Genomic DNA, 16,960 nt, shown 5'->3' with positions numbered 1-16,960 from the left:
AGAGAGCAATCTGTCAGGCGTGAGATGTGACAGTGCACATTACAACTGCTACTGAGTGGGGCAAATCCCTGTGTCAAGGACCAGAGCATGGCAGCTCACGCCTGTAATCCCAACACTTTGAGAGGCCAAGGCAGGAGGATCATTTGAGCCTAGGAGTTCAGGACCAGCCTGGGCAAGATGATGAGGCCTGTCTATATAAGACTAGAGCCCTGCCCTTTCTACTTCATCAGCACAAGAGTCCAGGCAAGAGGAGGGCCATTTAACCCTACCCCTGCGATTTTGCTGTTCCACACATTAAATAGGAAAAGACTGGCAAAGGGGAATTGATAGTAAGTGGAATTTATTTATAAAACAATGCAAATACTATGTGGAATTAGGAAGCATTTCCCATTTTTATTCATAAAATTATTACTTAAAATTGCAAAAGTAGATTTACAGAGGCACAGGTAACAAAACAGGAAATGAAATGTTCCAGACATTCCGAAAAGTTCGAAAGAAACACACCCTAGCCTCAAAATCTCCGGTTAAACCGTGGTTGCACAACAGGTTCTATTTATTCCTGCATTTTCTCAATAAGTTCTTCTTTATATTTGCCTTTCTCTTTTCCAACTTGTCGAGACTTGGCTTTGCGTTCAAGAATTTTTTTCCGATCCTTGTCCAGTTTTAGCCTGGTGATAACCACCTGTTGGGAGTGAGAAAACAGGTCTTTATTTCTGCATCCCCACCAGCTATTGAGCAATATAGACATCATAAGTTAAGTAAGACCTCAGCCATTCAGCTTTTAAGGAACTGAAACTCTGGAAGGAAAACAGACCCTGTAACACAATACAAAATAGGAACACAAAGGAAAAATAGCATGTTCCACTAGGTAGGCATGAGGGCTACAGGAAGATATATTCTCTCTTATTCCTCTGAATATTATGTGGTAGGGGAAGTGATGCCTAGAACACTTGGAAGCCTCTTGCAACCAGCTTAAAGACACAGCCATCGGCCGGCCATGATGGCTCACACCTGTAATCCCAACACTTTGGAAAGCCGAGGCGGGCGGATCACGAGGTCAGGAGATCGAGACCATCCTGGCCAACATGGTGAAACCCCATCTCTATTAAAAATATAAAAATTAGCTGGGCGTGGTGGTGTGTGCCTGTAGTCCCAGCTACTTGGGAGGCTGAGGCAGGAGAATTGCTTGAACCCAGGAGGTGGAGGTTGCAGTGAGCCGAGATCGCACCACAGCACTCCAGCCTGGTGACAGAGCGAGCATCCGTCTCAAAAAAAAAAAAAAAAAAAAAAAGACACAGCCATCACCAAGAAAGGCAAAACAGAAAAGAGAAGAGAAGAAAAATCTGGATCCTTGATGATATCACAAAGCTACTGAATCAATCAAGTCCACCTGGCCTGCCTCAGCCAACTGTGCAGGGAGTACCAAAACACCAATAACTTTGAACAGTATTGACACACTCCATGGCTGCTACTGCCACTCAGTCCTTGACCATACCTTGCTTGGGTGAATGCCCACGTGGACAGTTGTGCCGTTGGCCTTCTCACGCTGCACCCGCTCGATGTAGATGACATATTTCTTTCTGTACACCTGGACTACCTTGCCAATTTGCTGACCTTTGTAGTGTCCTCGAACTACCTAAGAGAAAATACAAAAGAGAATCCCCCTCCATTTGTAGTGCATGATCATAAAGAGGAAGCTAACCATCAGGAACACATGGGCTAAACATATAACTTTGTCAAAAGCAGCTTAATCCTGGCAGTCAAAAATTAGCTACTTTTCTGATATAAATCTGTGTTGTGCTATGGTTGGGTGGAGATTTTTTACCTGGATCCCACAGAAATGTGCGATATGAGCTTTAGAGGAAAAAGGAGAATACAAAACTACATATAGAATATACTCTGAACTATATATATATACATATATATGTCAAGTATCCCTTATTCGAAATGCTTGAGACCAGAAGTGTTTTGGATTTAGGGTTTTTGGGATTTTGGAATATCTGCATTACTAGCTAAGCACCCCAAATCTGAAAATCTGAAATCCCAAAAGCTCCAAAGAACACTTCCTTTGACCATCACGTTGACAAAGTCTCAGATTTTGGAGCATTCTGAATTTGAGATACTCAAACTATATGAGTGTATGTGTGTGTGTATATATATAATATATATTACATATGTGCGTATATGTATTTATATGTCATATATACATACACGTATCATATACATACACATATGTACTTATATGTAACATACATATATGTCATACATACATATATGTACTTATATGTCATATATACATATATGTGTATACATACGTATATATGTGTATATATGTATATATACACACACATTTCATATATATAGCATGACACAGTGGGATAAAATATATATATAAATATTGGTAACAGCTGCCATTAGGCAGGAAGCAGGATTACAGATGACTGATTTTTAGATTTATATTCTTCTAAATTTCAACATTTCTACATTTAATACAAATATTTTAAAGTCAGAAAAAAAATTTTAAATCTCACAGACTGTTTTACTGTACTAAAAATCTACTCTATTCAAAAACCAACTAGATTAGGGTTTCCTTGAAAGCAAGAGCTTATTTATTTATTTATTTATTTTTGACACGGAGTCTCGCTCTGTTCCCCCAGGCTGGAGGGCACTGGCATGATCTTGGCTCACTGCAACCTCCACCTCCCAGGTTCAAGTGATTCTCCTGCCTCAGCCTCCCAAGTAGCTGGGATTATAGGCACGCACCAGCAGGCCTGGCTAATTTTTGTATTTTTAGTAGAGACCAGGTTTCGCCATATTGGCCAGGCTGGTCTCGAACTCCTGACCTCAAGTGATCTGCCTGCCTCGGCCTCCCAAAGTGCTGGGATTACAGGTGTGAGCCACCATGCCCAGCCACAAGAGCTTATTAAACACCATGCATGGGGGCCGGGCACGGTGGTTCACACCTGTAATCCCAGCACTTTGGGAGGCCAAAGCCGGTGGATCATGAGGTCAAGAGATCGAGACCATCCAGGCCAACATGGTGAAACCCTGTCTCTACTAAAAATACAAAAATTAGCTGGGCGTGGTGGTGGGCGCCTGTAGACCCAGCTACTCGGGGGGCTGAGGCAGGAGAATCACTTGAACCTGGAAGGCGGAGGTTGCAGTGAGCTGAGATGGTGCCACTGCACTCCAGGCTGGCGACAGAGCGAGACACCGCCTCAAAAAAAAAAAACCACCAGGTACGATGTGACTCTGATTAATAAGCATAGAGGAGATACCACATATAAAGAACTAGAGAACCCCAATACTCCTAAAATGTCTACGTATAGCTTGTTTGGCTTATTTTCCAAGGCGATTTTTAGGTTGAAGAGGACAATCATATCTCAGTGAAAAATCTACCACAGACTACATGACCAGAGACTCTCAGGACACACCTGGAAGAAGTCTTGTTAATACCATCAAGACTGAAGAAATACACACATACACACTTTTTTTAAGAGACAGGGTTTCACTATGCTGCCCAGGCTGGTCTCAAACACCTGAGCTCAAGAGATCCACCCACCTTGGCCTTCCAAAGTGCTGGGATTACATGTGTGAGCCACTGCACCTGGCCAAGACTGAAGAAAGATCTTAGGCCGGGCATGGTGGCTCACAGCTGTAATCCTGGTACTTTAGGAAGCTCAGGCAGGTGGACTGCTTGAGTCCAGGAGTTGGAGACCAGCCGAGGCAACATAGCAAGACCCCGTCTCTACAAAAAAAAAAAAAAAAAAAAAAAAAAAAATAGTTAGCCAGACATGGTGGCATGCGCCTATGATCCCAGCTACTCGGGAGGCTGAGGTGGGAGGATCACTTGAACCCAGGAGGTTGAGTCTGCAGCAACCTGTTTTTGCACCACTGTACTCCAGCCTGGGTGACAGAGTGAGATCCTGTCTCAAAATAAAATAAAATAAAAAATTAATTTAAAAAATTTTTAAAAAGAGAAGTGGACAACCTCTGGACATAGTGAAGAGGAAGACAGGAGACAGGATAAGACTAAGTCGGCTGGTCGACTAGACTGGAGAGGTGAGGATGAAGAGGGAAGGATGATACTCAGAGTCTGGCTTGGGCAACCAGGTGGATGGCAATGCCATTGCCAGATGCAGAGATCATAGGGGAAGCCCCGTATTTTAGGAGGAAATAGTTTAGTTTGGAACATGCTAAATTTGAAGCATCTGGGGACATTCTAACAGAGAATTCAGACACAGCTGGAATGCCAACTGGGCCAGCAATAGAGACGTGGGAGTCATCCACAGAGAGGCAATTAGGAGCTTCATGTTGCTCAAGGAGTGATGGTATGAGAAAAGGGCAGAATGTACACATGTGAGAAAAGCCAGCATTTTGGAAGAGCTTGTGAGAGATTAATGTGGCCAGAGCGAATGGGAAATCATGCAAGTGTGGTGTTACAGCAGCCAAGAGAATGTCAAATTCTGTGGGACTGTCAAGAACACAGAGGATAAGGTATTTAACAGATCTGACAACAAGGTCATCAACAGTGGCTGTGGCTGGAATGCCTTCACTGAGTGCTGGGATGGAGGCCATTAACAGTAAAGTGATGAGTGTACCAGGTGAGAAGGTGAAGGTGAGAAAAGACAGTCCAAAGGAGCTTGGCTCTGAAGATGAGAAGGGGATAGATGTTTGAGGGGGATGGAAAGCTAAGGGAACTTTCCTTTATTTTTTATTTTTAAAGAAGGGAAAACATGATTGTGTTTAAATGCTGATGGAAGGAACAAGTATGGAGGAAGACGGTAAAAGAAACTACAGAGAAAGAAGATAAGGGACCAAAAAAGCTCCAAGAGAAGAATGGAGCAGCACCCAGTGGCAGATGGATTAGGCTTAGGCAGAAACAGGGATATTTCTTTCTTTTTTTTTTGAGACAGAGACTTGCTGTGTTACCCATGCTGGAGTGCAGTGGCGTGATCTTGGCTCACCACAACCTCCGCCTTCTGGGTTCAAGTGATATCTCATTGCCTCAGCCTCCCTTGTAGCTGGGATTACAGGCATGTGCCATCACGCCCAGCTAATCTTTATATTTTTAGTGCAGACGGAATTTCGCCATGTTGGCCAGGCTGGTCTCGAACTCCTGGCCTCAAGCGATCCACCTGTCTTGGCCTCTCAGAGTGTTGAGATTACAGGCGTGAGCCACTGCACCAGGCCTGGGATATTTCTTTCATTGTAACAGAAGGGAAAGAAAATAAGAGGGGTGGAACTACAGGTAAACGTGTAGGTGTGGAGCCACGATTTCTGAAAGTTCCTGGCTGATAACTTCAATTTTCTCTGTAAAGTAGGAGGAACCATCACCTACTCAGAGAAAGAGGAAGGTAAGTGAGATTCAGAAGATCCCGTGAGAGGAGGCAATATTAACAAACCCAATCAGGGCTATTTTATTCTCCTGGTGGAGAAGTGTTCAGCCAGCATGGCCTTTGGCTGAAACAATTCATACCTCTTAGGCATTCAAAAAATGGCAACAGGCAGCCGGGCGTGGTGGCTCACGCCTGTAATCCCAGCACTTGGGGAGGCTGAGGCGGGTGGATCACCTGAGGTCAGGAGTTCGAGACCAGACTGACCAACATGGTAAAACCCCGTCTCTATTAAAAATATGAAAATTAGCCAGGCATGGTGGTGTGTGCCTGTAATCTCAGCTACTTGGGAGGCTGAGGGAGGAGAATGGCTTGAACCCGGGAGGCAGAGGTTGCAGTGAGCCGAGATTGTGCCACTGCACTCCAGCCTGGGCAACAAGAGTGAAACTCTGTCTCAAAAAAAAAAAAAAAAAAAAAGGCAACAGGCCAGACACTGTGGCTCATGCCTGTAATCCCAGCACTTTGGGAGGCCAAGGCAGAAGGATTGCTTGAAGCCAGGAGTTTGAGACCAGCCTGGGCAGCAAAGCAATACCTATTTTTAAATAAATAAATAAATAAATAAATGTCTCTAATTTAAAATATATATATATTTAACAGCAGCTCCTTCTCCCTCTTTGCCCTCCTTCTCTGTCTCACCTTCTACATCTTACCTACTCAAAAAATTTTTTTCATTCATTCAACAAATATTGACTGACCCTTCTCCTCTCTAAGTGTCAGGCTCTGCACTGAGGTCAGACAACAAACAAGATGAACTCTCTGGTTTCATGGAGCTTAGCCTGATGGCCAGTAAGCAGTTAATGAGTACATAGACAAATACATGACCACTAACTGGAATAAGTCACATAGGAACTTACTGGGATGATTAAAAATGGTCTTTTTAATGGTCTAATCATAATTAGGGTAATGGCTATTTGGTTTTACATTTGCCAAAACTGACCTGTGCATTTTACTGTGTGTAAATTATGCCTCAGTTAAAAATAAAATGATTTCAAATTGTGCTTACTGCTACGAAGAAAAAATAAAGAATGCTAGGCTATAATATTGGTTAAAGGATCTGGGAAGGCTTCTCTGAGGAACGGACATTTAAGGTAGGACCCGAAGAATGAGGAGTTACCTATGTAAAGGAGAGAAGGAAGAGCACTCCAGGCAGAGAGAACATTCCAGCGGGAGAAAAGATCAAGGTGTATTTAAAGACCCCAGAAGCCCAGTGTGGTTAAAGTGTAGAGCACATGGGGGTTAGGAGGAGATGAGGATGGAGAAGTAGACCAGGATTGGCCCATAGAGGGCCTTGCAGTCAATGATTTTAGATTTTTTTTTTTTTTTTTGAGACCGAGTTTTACTCTGTTGCCCAGGCTGGAGTGCAGTGGCGCAATCTTGGCTCACTGCAACCTCTACCTCCTAGGTTAAAGCGATTCCCCTGCCTCAGCCTCCCGAGTACTTGGGATTACAGGTGTGTGCCACCACACCTAATTTTTGTATTTCTAGTAGAGGTGGGGTTTCACCATGTTGGCCAGGCTGGTCTCGAACTCCTGACCTCAGGTGATCCACCCACCTCAGCCTCCCAAAGTGTCGGGATTACAGGCGTGAGCCACCGCGCCTGGCCATGATTTTAGATTTTATAAGCACATCAGGCACCATTGGTAAGCACCTGGCTAACTCCTCATTTCTCAGGTCTTCTCTTAAATGTATTAGTTCCTCAGAGAAGCCTTCCCAGGTCCTTTAATCAATATCATAGCATCCTTTATATTTTCTTCATAGCAATGAACACAATTTGAAATCATTTTATTTTTAACTGAGGCATCATTTACATACAGTAAAATGTACAGGTCAGTTTTGGCAGATATAAAACTGCCAAAGGATTTTTTTTTTTTTTTTTTTTTTTTGAGACAGAGCCTCACTCTGTCACCCAGGCTGGAGTGCAGTGGCATGATCTTGGCTCATTGGAAGCTCCCCCTCCCGGGTTCACGCCATTCTCCTGCCTCAGCCTCCCAAGTAGTTGGGACTACAGGCGCCCACCACCACGCTCAGCTAATTTTTTATATTTTTAGTAGAGATGGGTTTCACCGTGTTAGCCAGGATGGTCTCAATCTCCTGACCTCATGATCTGCCTGCCACAGCCTCCCAAAGTGCTGGGATTACAGGCGTGAGCCACTGTGCCTGGCCGTTTTTTGTTGTTGTTGTTGTTGTTTTTGAGACAGAGTCTCACTCTGTCACCCAGGCTGGAGTGCAATGGCACAATCTCGGTTCATTGCAACCTCCGCCTCCCGGGTTCAAGCGATTGTCATGCTTCAGCCTCCCGAGTAGCTGGGATTACAGGTGTGCACCACCACGCCTGGCTAATTTTTTGTATTTTTAGTAGAGATGGAGTTTCACCATGTTTCCCAGGCTGGTCTCAAACTCCTGAGCTCAGGGGATCCACCCGCCTGGGCCTCCCAAACTGCTAGGATTACAGGCGTGAGCCATCATGCCCAGCCTGCCAAAGGTTTTAAATAGGACCTGATTTGCAAATAATACCACTCTGTGGAAAATGGACAAAGGTAAAAGAGGGAACTGCAATGCTGCCTTGAACTGGACAGGAAATAGGTTCAAGACTTACTTTGGAGGTAGAATCAACAAGCCTTGATGGTAGATTACAAGAGGGGGTTAAGGAGCGTTGTTAAAGATAACAAAGGTTTAGGGGCATATGCAGCTGGGGAGATATAAATGGCACTTACTGGAGATGTGGAAGATGGGAGTAGAGTTGGATTCTGGAGGCAGTGAGAGTGTTAGGATCAAGAGTACTCTTAAGAAGCTTGAAATGTCAATGGGCTACCTAAATAGAGATGTTCAGTAGGTAGTCAGATCTATAGGTCTGTGTTATAGGTAGTCAGATATACAGGTTGTCTAAAGTGGTCTGGACTGGGATATAAAAGAGGGAGTTGTTAGCACACAGCAGACATTTAAAGCTCTAAGAACGGATTATTACCTATTCTTTACCTACGTAGAGAACACAGAGCAGAAAGAGATGCTAGATGTGTCCACTGGATTCAGTCACGAAGGGATTATTAGTGATCTACGTCAAAGTAGGTTCTATAATGTAGTGGGGACAGGGAATAGACTGAAGAGAATCCAAGAGTGAATGGGAGATGAGGAAGTGTAGACAGCTCTCTTGAGGAGGTTGGTTATGAATAGAGAACAAAGTGTAGTAGCTGGAAGGAAATGTGGGCTAGGGAAGTGAATCCAAATTTTCCAGCTCTCTTTGAAAATCCAAGAATCTAACAATGGGCCTGCATTTCCCCCAGGCATCAATGGGCTAAAGGTAGATGATTATATCTTATATGTGAGGCTTGAGCTTTCCAGTTTGCCATTTTCTATCCCTACCTATCCCCTATAAGTATTTGCAATTCCCCCATTCTAGAACATGTCTGATGGGAAGGATCCAGGAGAGAGGGGGTTGAAACTGCTGATCATACCTCTGAACTACTCTTTCCACTCTTCCTGTCACACTTCCGGCTTAACTCCACATTTTTTCCTCCTTAACATATCCCCAAACCTTCAAAGAGTCCCAGTGTCTCAGATGATACACCAAGCCTCATCACCTTATGTCATTTCATTCTCTAAGACAATAGCTCTTAACTGAGTGAGGGAAGAGTTGATTTTGCCCCCCAGGGAGCATTTGGCAATATCTGGAAATATTTTTGCTTGTCACAACTGTGAAGGGAGGGAGTGCCACTGGCATCTAGTGGGGAGAGGCCAGGGACGCTGCTAAACATTCTACAATGCACAGGACAGCCCCCACCCCCCACCCCCCACAACAATTATCCAGTCCAACATATCAATAGAGCTGAGGCTAGGAAACCCTGCTCTAAAACGTGATCTCCATGAGAACAAGGGCCTCGTCAATCTTGTCCTAGAACAATCTCTGGTAAGTGCTCCATAAATATTCCTTTGAGGAATGAATCTAGCCCCTGCTTATTTCACTCATATCCAACTCCCTTCCCTCCTCTCATGCATTCTAAGCTCCAATCACAGAGAACAGAGGGCTTGTACGTTCTCACATGGGCCAGTCTTTTAGAAATTATGAAAGAGTGACTCGCTGCATCTTTACCAGTTCTCCTGCCAAATCCAATGCTATCACATGGCCAGCTCCCACAAATCTCTGTCCATCAATCCCACTACACCCAAATACACTAAAACACTACTCTCACTGCAGCACCTTCCCCTACAGTCTGGTTCAACAAGCCACCCTGGGCAACAACACTTGGCAAACTAGCAGCCAGAAGGTTAAATCAAAAGTATTTTTGGTGGGGCACGGTGGCTCACACTTGTAATCCCAGTGCTTTGGGAGGCTGAGGTGGGAGGATCACTTGAGGCCAGGAGTTCAGAGACCAGCCTGGGCAACATAGCAAGACCCTATCTCTACAAAACAAACAAAAAAGCAGGTTTTTGCTTGGTTGACATACTGTTTTATTAAATTTTACTATTACTATTAAATAATTAAATGCTCTAAAGCAACGCAGGCACTCTCTGGTGGCTCTGAACCCTATCTCTGGCCTAACACATCTGAAGGGTCACACTACTTTCCAGAGTCCTGAGGCATGTGAGTCTGTGACTGCTCCACGCATGACGTTCTTAGGCAACGGTGTCCGAGCGCCACTAGCGCCGGAGGGAGACGTACCTGGACCTCGTCGTCCTTGCGGATGGGCATGGAGCGGACATTGTACTTCTGCCGCAGCTCCTTGGAGAGCGGGGATGACATGATCTTCCTGCGCACGTGTGAGGGGGCATTGAAGTGACGTTTGCGGTTTTTACTGCGGTCCGAGGTAACGAAGGGATTGAACTTCATGGTGACCCTCTACAAAGGGCGGAGAGAGACGGAATGAAGGGGCGCTCAGTGGGTTACAGGGGCCTGTTCTCGACCCAAGACACTCCTCATCCCCCAACAAAGGCTCTACAGGGGAGGTAGCCTCTGAAAAGGCAACTGAGGGAGGACAGAGAGATGCGACTAGTCTGACTATCACATAAAGTGAGGCGTGTGTGGAGGTCGCATGCCCGTCTAAAGGGGTCGTGGGGGAGAGGGTAGCACTGGGACCTTGAGGCTGAGGAAGGAATGCTAGGGTTAGGCAGGAATGGGTGGTCGGGAGGTCACTCAAAGAGAGCTGTGGGGTGACATGTGTTCCCGCGACACATAGGGCAGGGTCTCACGGGGCGGTAGAGTTCACTGTCCGAGAAAACTCCAGCCTCCACTCACCCGGCTACTAGCTGCCTCAGACCCTGAGTGCGCAGGGCCGGAAGTGAGTTTCCGTGCCGCGCAAGCGCAGAAAGACATCGAAGCCCCATTTCCGTAGGAGCGAAGTCGAATGGCGCCCCCAGCGGCTTGGGGTGGGATCTCAGTGCCTCATTCCTGGCGGCCCCGGGAGGGCGATGCCAGTGAGTACAAGGGCCTGCTTGTGTAGGGCCTGCGGTAGAGGCTTACTGGTGTTCTTTTTTTTTTTTTTGAGACGGAGTCTCGCTCTGTCGCCCAGACTGGAGTGCAGTGGCGCGAGCTCGGCTCACTGCAAGCTCCGCCTCCCGGGTTCACGCCATTCTCCTGCCTCAGCCTCCCGAGTAGCTGGGACTACAGGCGCCCCCCACCACGCCCGGCTAATTTTTTGTATTTTTAGTAGAGACGGGGTTTCACCCTGTTAGCCAGGATGGTCTCGATTTCCTGACCTCGTGATCCGCCCGCCTCGGCCTTCCAAAGTGCTGGGATTACAGGCGTGAGCCGCCGCGCCCTCCTACCTCTACTTTTTTCTATCTCTGGGACTAAACGGCGGCCGGCGGCGTGCCTGCGGGTTTGTGGCCGCCGCCCCGCCCCTCTCTCCTAGACCCCGCCCCTCTCATCCAGTCCCCGCCCACTCCGGCCGCTCCGCGCCCACCTGTGGCCCTCTTGGCCCTTCTGCCCGTGCCTGGCCCCGCCGGGTCGCTCCCGAGCTCCGCGTTTCGTTCGCCGACCCCTGGAAGACTGCCTGGAGGCCCGGGCGCCACCCAACCACTGGCTAGGCCGACACTTTGCGCGGACCCTGGGTGTAAAAGGTCCCCGGGTCTCTGGTCCCGACGGAGCTGTGAGGGAGATCAACCACGCCCCCTCCGTGGGCACCGTGGCGGCAGGGAAGGAAAAGGGCTCTGGGTCTCGACTCTCTTCGGGTTAAGAACCGACGGGGTTTATTCTATGCAAGGTGTTATTAACTCCAACTCTCCCTTTCGTTCATTCATTCCATATATGTTGAACGACAACTTAGTGCCAAATGCCGGCATGCTGAAACTCAGAGAGGGAAGATGTCTTGCAAGTACAGCAGCCACACCCAGGCAGGTCCCGTGCTCTCTCTTAGTTTATCAGTGTTCCCTGACATGTAGTGGTGACATTGTTAAACACCTGCGTTTACTAATACTAGATTTTTTTTTTTTTTTTTTTTGAGATAGAGTTTCGCTCTTGTTCCCTGGGCTGCAGTGCAGTGGCACCATCTCGGCTCACCGCAACCTCCGCCTCCCAAGTTCAAGCGATTCTCCTGCCTCAGCCTCCCCAGTATCTGGGATTACAGGTATGCGCCACCACGCCCGGCTAATTTTGTATTTTTAGTAGAGACGGGGTTTCTCCATGTTGGTCAGGCTGGTCTTGAACTCCCGACCTCAGGTGATTCTCCCGCCTCGGCCTCCCAAAGTACTGGGATTACAGGCGTGAGCCACTGCGCCTGGCCTACTAATACTAGGTTTTATTCCGGGCCCTTCACAGTTAATGTTGGAGGCCTCTGGAGGATGGCCACACCTGGGCTATTTGCAGAAGCCTGGACAGCACAGCAGGCAGAGTTAAAGCAGTTAAGGCAGTATCAGCTGAAGGGCCACCCAGCTGTGCGTGTGCCCAGGCTCCAAGAATAAGGAGGTTGGGGGGCAGTCCTAAGAAAGGAAGTCATTACCTATCGGCAACCCAGGAGCAGACGCTGGCATAACGGCGCACACACAGTAAAGGTCAGAGGTTCTTCTTAGAATAGTCCTTAGGTGTTAGTCAAACCCATGCCCTGCCCCAAGGAGTTCATTCATTCATTCACTCATTCATTCACTCACTCACTCACTGGTTCTGTTTATTCACTCATTTCTCTATCACATATCCATTTATTGTCATTCACCCACTTATTTACTCATACATTCATTCATTTGCTCATCAATTTATTTGGTACCTACATGGAGCCAGGTACAGGTCTTGATTAAAGAGATCTGGGGAGGAGTGCTCCCAAGAAGTTCAGAGCCTCACTGGTGAAGGAAAGCCATGTAAAGACAGATCTTGAGAACCCAAGATCATCAAGGAGTATCCATGATCAAGCAGAGCAGGGAAGGCTTTTTGCTTTGTTTTGTTTTGTTTTTAACATGCTGTGTGGTTCAGTAAAATTAAAACAGGCACAATGATATCCTGGATGACAAGAGCTGGAGGCTGTCATTCTAACAATGTAGTGAGACTGGCTGTCTTGTCTCATGCCCACCCCTGGAAACATGCGCAGGAACTCAAAGCACCTAGCACAGAGGAAGTGTCTGGTGAGTCTTTTTATTTCTCGAGGCAGTGGCTGCATGGGGAAGTGCTTGAGCCCTGGCACCCAAATCGCTTGGGTTTGGATCTCTGCCACTGCCTGGTTCTTTGGCTTTGGAGAAGATATTCAGCCTCTTGGTCACTCAGTTTATTCCCATCTGAAAAATGGGAATAATGATAGTACTTACCTCATTGGTTTGGTGTCAGGATTTTTTTTTTTTTTCGAGATAGAGTCTCGCTCTGTCGCCCAGGCTGGAGTGCAGTGGTGCAGTTTTGGCTCACTGCAACCTCCACCTCCCGGGTTCAAGTGATTCTCCTGCCTCAGCCTCCTGAGTAGCTGGGACTACAGGCGTATGCCACCACGCCTGGCTAATTTTTGTATTTTTAGTAGAGACAGGGTTTCACCATGTTGGTTAGGCTGGTCTTGAACTCATGACCTCAAGCAATCCACCTGCCTCAGCCTCCCAAAGTGCTGGGATTACAGATGTGAGCCACCACACCCGGCCTGGTGTCAGGATTAAATGAACCCTTAGCACAATACCTGGCACAGAGGAAGAACTTAATAAATGTTGGAATTTATTTATTTATTAGATGGATAATAATGGCTCTTCTTAATGGGCTGAGCATTTACTGTCAGGCATTGTGCTAACAGGTTTACAAGCATTACCTCATTTCAGTCCGTTAAATAACAGTATGAATTGTCCCTTTTACAGGTGAGAAAACTGAGGCTCTGAGTGAGATGGGAACAAAGGATGGACATAATCTACCATTAGATGCTCAATATGGTTATTATTTATCTTGCAGCCCATAAAGATAATAATGCGATCCGTATTTATTAATCTAGGAAGATGTCTGTTAAGTGAGGGCTAAGCTATACAATAATATGAACAGTATGATCCCATTTTGCTTATCAAAAGGCATCACTAAAATGTTATCATTAAATGATCATCTCTGATTAGTGGGATTACGGGTGACTTTCGTTTTTCCCCTTTTACTTTTTTTAGTATTTGATAATTTTCCTCCAGTGGGCTTATGAGCCTGTGTTATTTGTGTAATTAAAATTACATTTTGAAGATTTAAAAAATTGTAAGAACGCTGTCCCTGCGAATGTTTAATTTAGATTTTCTCTGCAGGTTGTTTTAAAGGAAAAACAAAACCAAAAAAAGCACCTCCTGCTCTGACCACCCCTATTTCCAGTTTTCCCTTTTGGCACAGCAAAGATGACCTTGGGACTGAGGTGGAACCATGTAATTCTTCGTAATCCCAGAGTCAGGCAGACCTGGGTATGAATTCCATCTTTACTAACTGTGTGACTCACTGTGTGGCCATGCCAAGTTACGAGGTCTCTCTGTTTCCTCCTTCCTAAAAAGGAGATAACATCCATCTCGAAGGAAGATCTGGCCTGAAGAGCAGTCACTCTTGCCTGGCATGCAGAGAATGCCAAATCATATTAATGACTGGCCAGAATGAAGTGCGTGACCTCATCACTCCATAACTGACAGGAAACAACTGCTAGGGCAAGAAAAAAGGGTCTCCAGTGAGTATTCTTGTCCACACACATCCCCACTCACGTTCCTGGACCACTGCATCTAACTGCCGCAGCAGCTAATGAACCTTCTGGAATAAAGGACCAGTTTCTTAAGAAGGGATTGAGACCTCCAGTGGCCTCCCACATTGTTTCCGGCAAGAATTTAAAAATTATTTGTAACATATAGTAATAAAAACTAACCACAGGCTGGGCGCAGTGGCTCACGCCTGTAATCCCAGCACTTTGGGAGGCTGAGGCAGGTGGATCACCTGAGGTCAGGAGTTCGAGACCAGCCTGACCAATATGGTGAAACCCTGTTTCTCCTAAAAATACAAAAATTAGCTGGGCATGGTGGTGGGCGCCTGTAATCTCAGCTACTCAGGAGGCTGAAACAGGAGAACTGCTTGAATCTGGGAGGTAGATGTTGCAGTGAGCCGATATCGCGCCATTGCACTCCAGCCTGGGCAATGACTCCGTCTCAAAAAAAAAAAAAAAAAAAAAAAACTAACCACAGCTACTATTTATGAACTCTAGTGCCACACCCCATTTCTTCCCAGGTTTCACCCCCTCTTCCCAGGTTTCACCCACCCCAACCAGTGTTGTTTGCAACACTTCAGCTTCTCTCCTCACGAAGCACGTCTCCAGAGACGCCTCTTCCGCAACTTCCCAGGGAAGCCATTTCTGCCTGGACCCACCACAGCTCCCAACCTGTCACGCACCCCTGGAGGGTTTTGCTCTGTAATCCTGATTTAGAAATCCTCTTATATGAAACCACTGTAATCCACATCTGGTTAGACAATTGGAAAAGTTCATTGAAAGGAGAAATAATAAAAATGGCATCCATCCCTTAAATGTTGTATGCCAACGTAAAACACATTCGACAATGACCCTGGGCTAAGGCTCTACCTTACAGAGAAACCTGTATCGGTGTTCCCCTCCATTTTCCTTACATAAACCAACCAAAAATCTTCAGTTGTTCCGTTCTCTGTCTCTCTCCCTCTCCACACCCACCTTCCCTCTTCCTCTCTCCCTCCCTCCCTCTCTCTTTCTCTCTTTTTTGAGACAGAGTTTCACTCTGTCACCCAGGCTGGAGTGCAGCGGCTAGATCTTGGTTCACTGCAGCCTCCACCACTCCCCCCACTTCCCCCCCGCCGCCCCTGCCCCCACCGCAGCCTCCCAGGTGGCTGGGACTACAGGCCACCACGCCCACTAATTTTTGTATTTTTTCTATAGAGACGGGGTTTCATCATGTTGCCCAGACTGGTCTCAAACTCTTGGGCTCAAGCAATCCTCTCACCTCAGCCTCCCGGTGCTGGGATTATAGGCGTGAACCATCGCGTCCGGCCTCCCAAATCTTTTACAGTTGTCTTGTTCACTTCTCATTCAGCAGCATTTTGAGTTGGGAGGGGTAACAACTCACCTTAATCAAGTCTCTCTAAAGCATTCAACTTAGTTTTACTAGGTTCATTTCTTGTAGCTCATTGGTTTAACTAATAGTTCCCCAAATCACATCCTACCAGTATAAAAGCACAACTGGTATAAACACGTTTGGGAACACACATAACTCAAGTATCAGGATGTAAGAGCGAGAGCATGGGGAGAGTTAAGAATTTCTCACAGACTGATTCCCTCCCACATTCATCCCTGGTGTGTTTATCCGTGTTAGGGCTGTTCTGATGAAAGTCTTGTAGGACTTGGCAGCAAGATGGGAAAGATCCATGGAAGTCCATTGCTCATAGCTGATGATGATCTCTCATTGCTGAGCTTAGGGTTGAAAAAGGAGTGCCAGGTCCTTTGAAATCAAGAAGAATTTATGAATCACCTTTCATTTATGGAGCCCTTAGCTCAAAGCTCTAAAGTTAGTCTTTTCTCAAGATTATATCCTATTTGGGAATGCTCATAATGGTCCAATCACCATTTGTGAAAACTTACTGTGTACCAGCAATAAACACTCTTCTACATAGACAATCTCATTCTAATATAATTTCTGTGCACGTTATAGATTCTATTTCTGAAACAGCCCTATGTGGTAGTTTTATTACTATCCTCATTTTCACCCAACAAATCTGAGGCACTGAGAGGTTAAGGACCTGGACTGAAGCTGCACAGCTAGAAGGTGACAGACCCAAGAACATTCTGTAGGGACTCAATAAAGGAATGACTTAATCTAAGGGGGCTTGACTTTCTTTCTTCTTTTCTTTTTTTTTTTTTTGAGACGGAGTCTCGCTTTGTCCCCCAGGCTGGAGTGCAATGGTGCGATCTCAGCTCACTGAAACCTCTGCCTTCCAGGTTCAAGCGATTCTCCTTGCCTTAGCCTCCTGAGTAGCTGGGATTACAGGTGCCTGCCACCACGCCCAGCTATTTTTTGTATTTTTAGTAGAGATGGGGTTTCACCATGTTGGCCAGGCTGGTTTTGAACTCCTGACCTCAGGTGATCCACCCGCCTCTGCCTCCCAAAAGTGTTGGGAATACAGGTGTGAGCCACTGCACCTGGCCAAA

At 46.3% G+C, this 16,960-nt stretch overlaps 1 protein-coding gene and 1 long non-coding RNA gene across 9 annotated transcripts, besides 1 other annotated feature; one reads left to right on the top strand and one right to left on the bottom strand.

Moving 5' to 3' along the window:
• Window positions 1–323: 323 nt before the first annotated feature.
• On the bottom strand, window positions 324–16,001 carry RPL26L1 (ribosomal protein L26 like 1). Of its 7 annotated transcripts, none has more exons than XM_011534565.3 (4): window positions 15,759–16,001; window positions 10,054–10,230; window positions 1,496–1,636; window positions 324–682 (listed from the first exon to the last, which is right to left on the bottom strand). In XM_011534565.3, exons 2-4 carry the CDS (start codon window positions 10,219–10,221, stop codon window positions 554–556), a joined length of 438 nt encoding a protein of 145 aa, XP_011532867.1. In that variant the 5' UTR covers window positions 10,222–10,230; window positions 15,759–16,001; the 3' UTR covers window positions 324–553. The 7 variants fall into 7 exon arrangements, with proteins under 7 accessions (XP_011532867.1, NP_001304910.1, NP_001304909.1 ...); NM_001317981.2 differs by lacking the exon at window positions 15,759–16,001 and adding an exon at window positions 11,294–11,366; NM_001317980.2 differs by lacking the exon at window positions 15,759–16,001 and adding an exon at window positions 11,088–11,215.
• Window positions 10,727–15,313, top strand: RPL26L1-AS1 (RPL26L1 antisense RNA 1). 2 transcript variants are annotated; one of them, NR_026682.1, is made up of 4 exons: window positions 10,727–10,805; window positions 11,838–11,956; window positions 12,793–12,941; window positions 14,067–15,313. It is a non-coding gene; the product is annotated as an RPL26L1 antisense RNA 1 (long non-coding RNA). The 2 variants fall into 2 exon arrangements; NR_026683.1 differs by lacking the exon at window positions 10,727–10,805 and adding an exon at window positions 11,320–11,723 and having other exon boundaries at window positions 15,019–15,313.
• Window positions 13,825–15,024: an enhancer, noted in NCBI's record as "BRD4-independent group 4 enhancer chr5:172382074-172383273 (GRCh37/hg19 assembly coordinates)". NCBI's record gives its function as "activates an origin of replication core promoter dependent on BRD2, P300/CBP, MED14 and CDK7 cofactors, and independent of BRD4, by STARR-seq in HCT116 cells {active_cell/tissue: HCT116}" and the evidence as "EXISTENCE:reporter gene assay evidence [ECO:0000049][PMID:35650434]".
• Window positions 16,002–16,960: the final 959 nt, after the last annotated feature.

The sequence above is a fragment of the Homo sapiens genome, chromosome 5, assembly GCF_000001405.40.
Source record: "Homo sapiens chromosome 5, GRCh38.p14 Primary Assembly".
NCBI classification, from domain to species: Eukaryota; Metazoa; Chordata; class Mammalia; order Primates; family Hominidae; genus Homo; species Homo sapiens.
This window is presented reverse-complemented; position numbering and strand designations above follow the sequence as displayed.

Excerpts from the sequence above, each read along its gene's own strand:
- RPL26L1 (XM_011534565.3), bottom strand. The coding sequence starts at position 10,221 with ATGAAGTTCAATCCCTTCGTTACCTCGGACCGCAGTAAAAACCGCAAA. Across the intron at positions 1,637-10,053 it reads GCAAGGACGACGAGGTCCAG|GTAGTTCGAGGACACTACAA; the intron begins GTACGTCTCCCT and ends ATTTTCTCTTAG. Across the intron at positions 683-1,495 it reads TGGGCATTCACCCAAGCAAG|GTGGTTATCACCAGGCTAAA; the intron begins GTATGGTCAAGG and ends CACTCCCAACAG.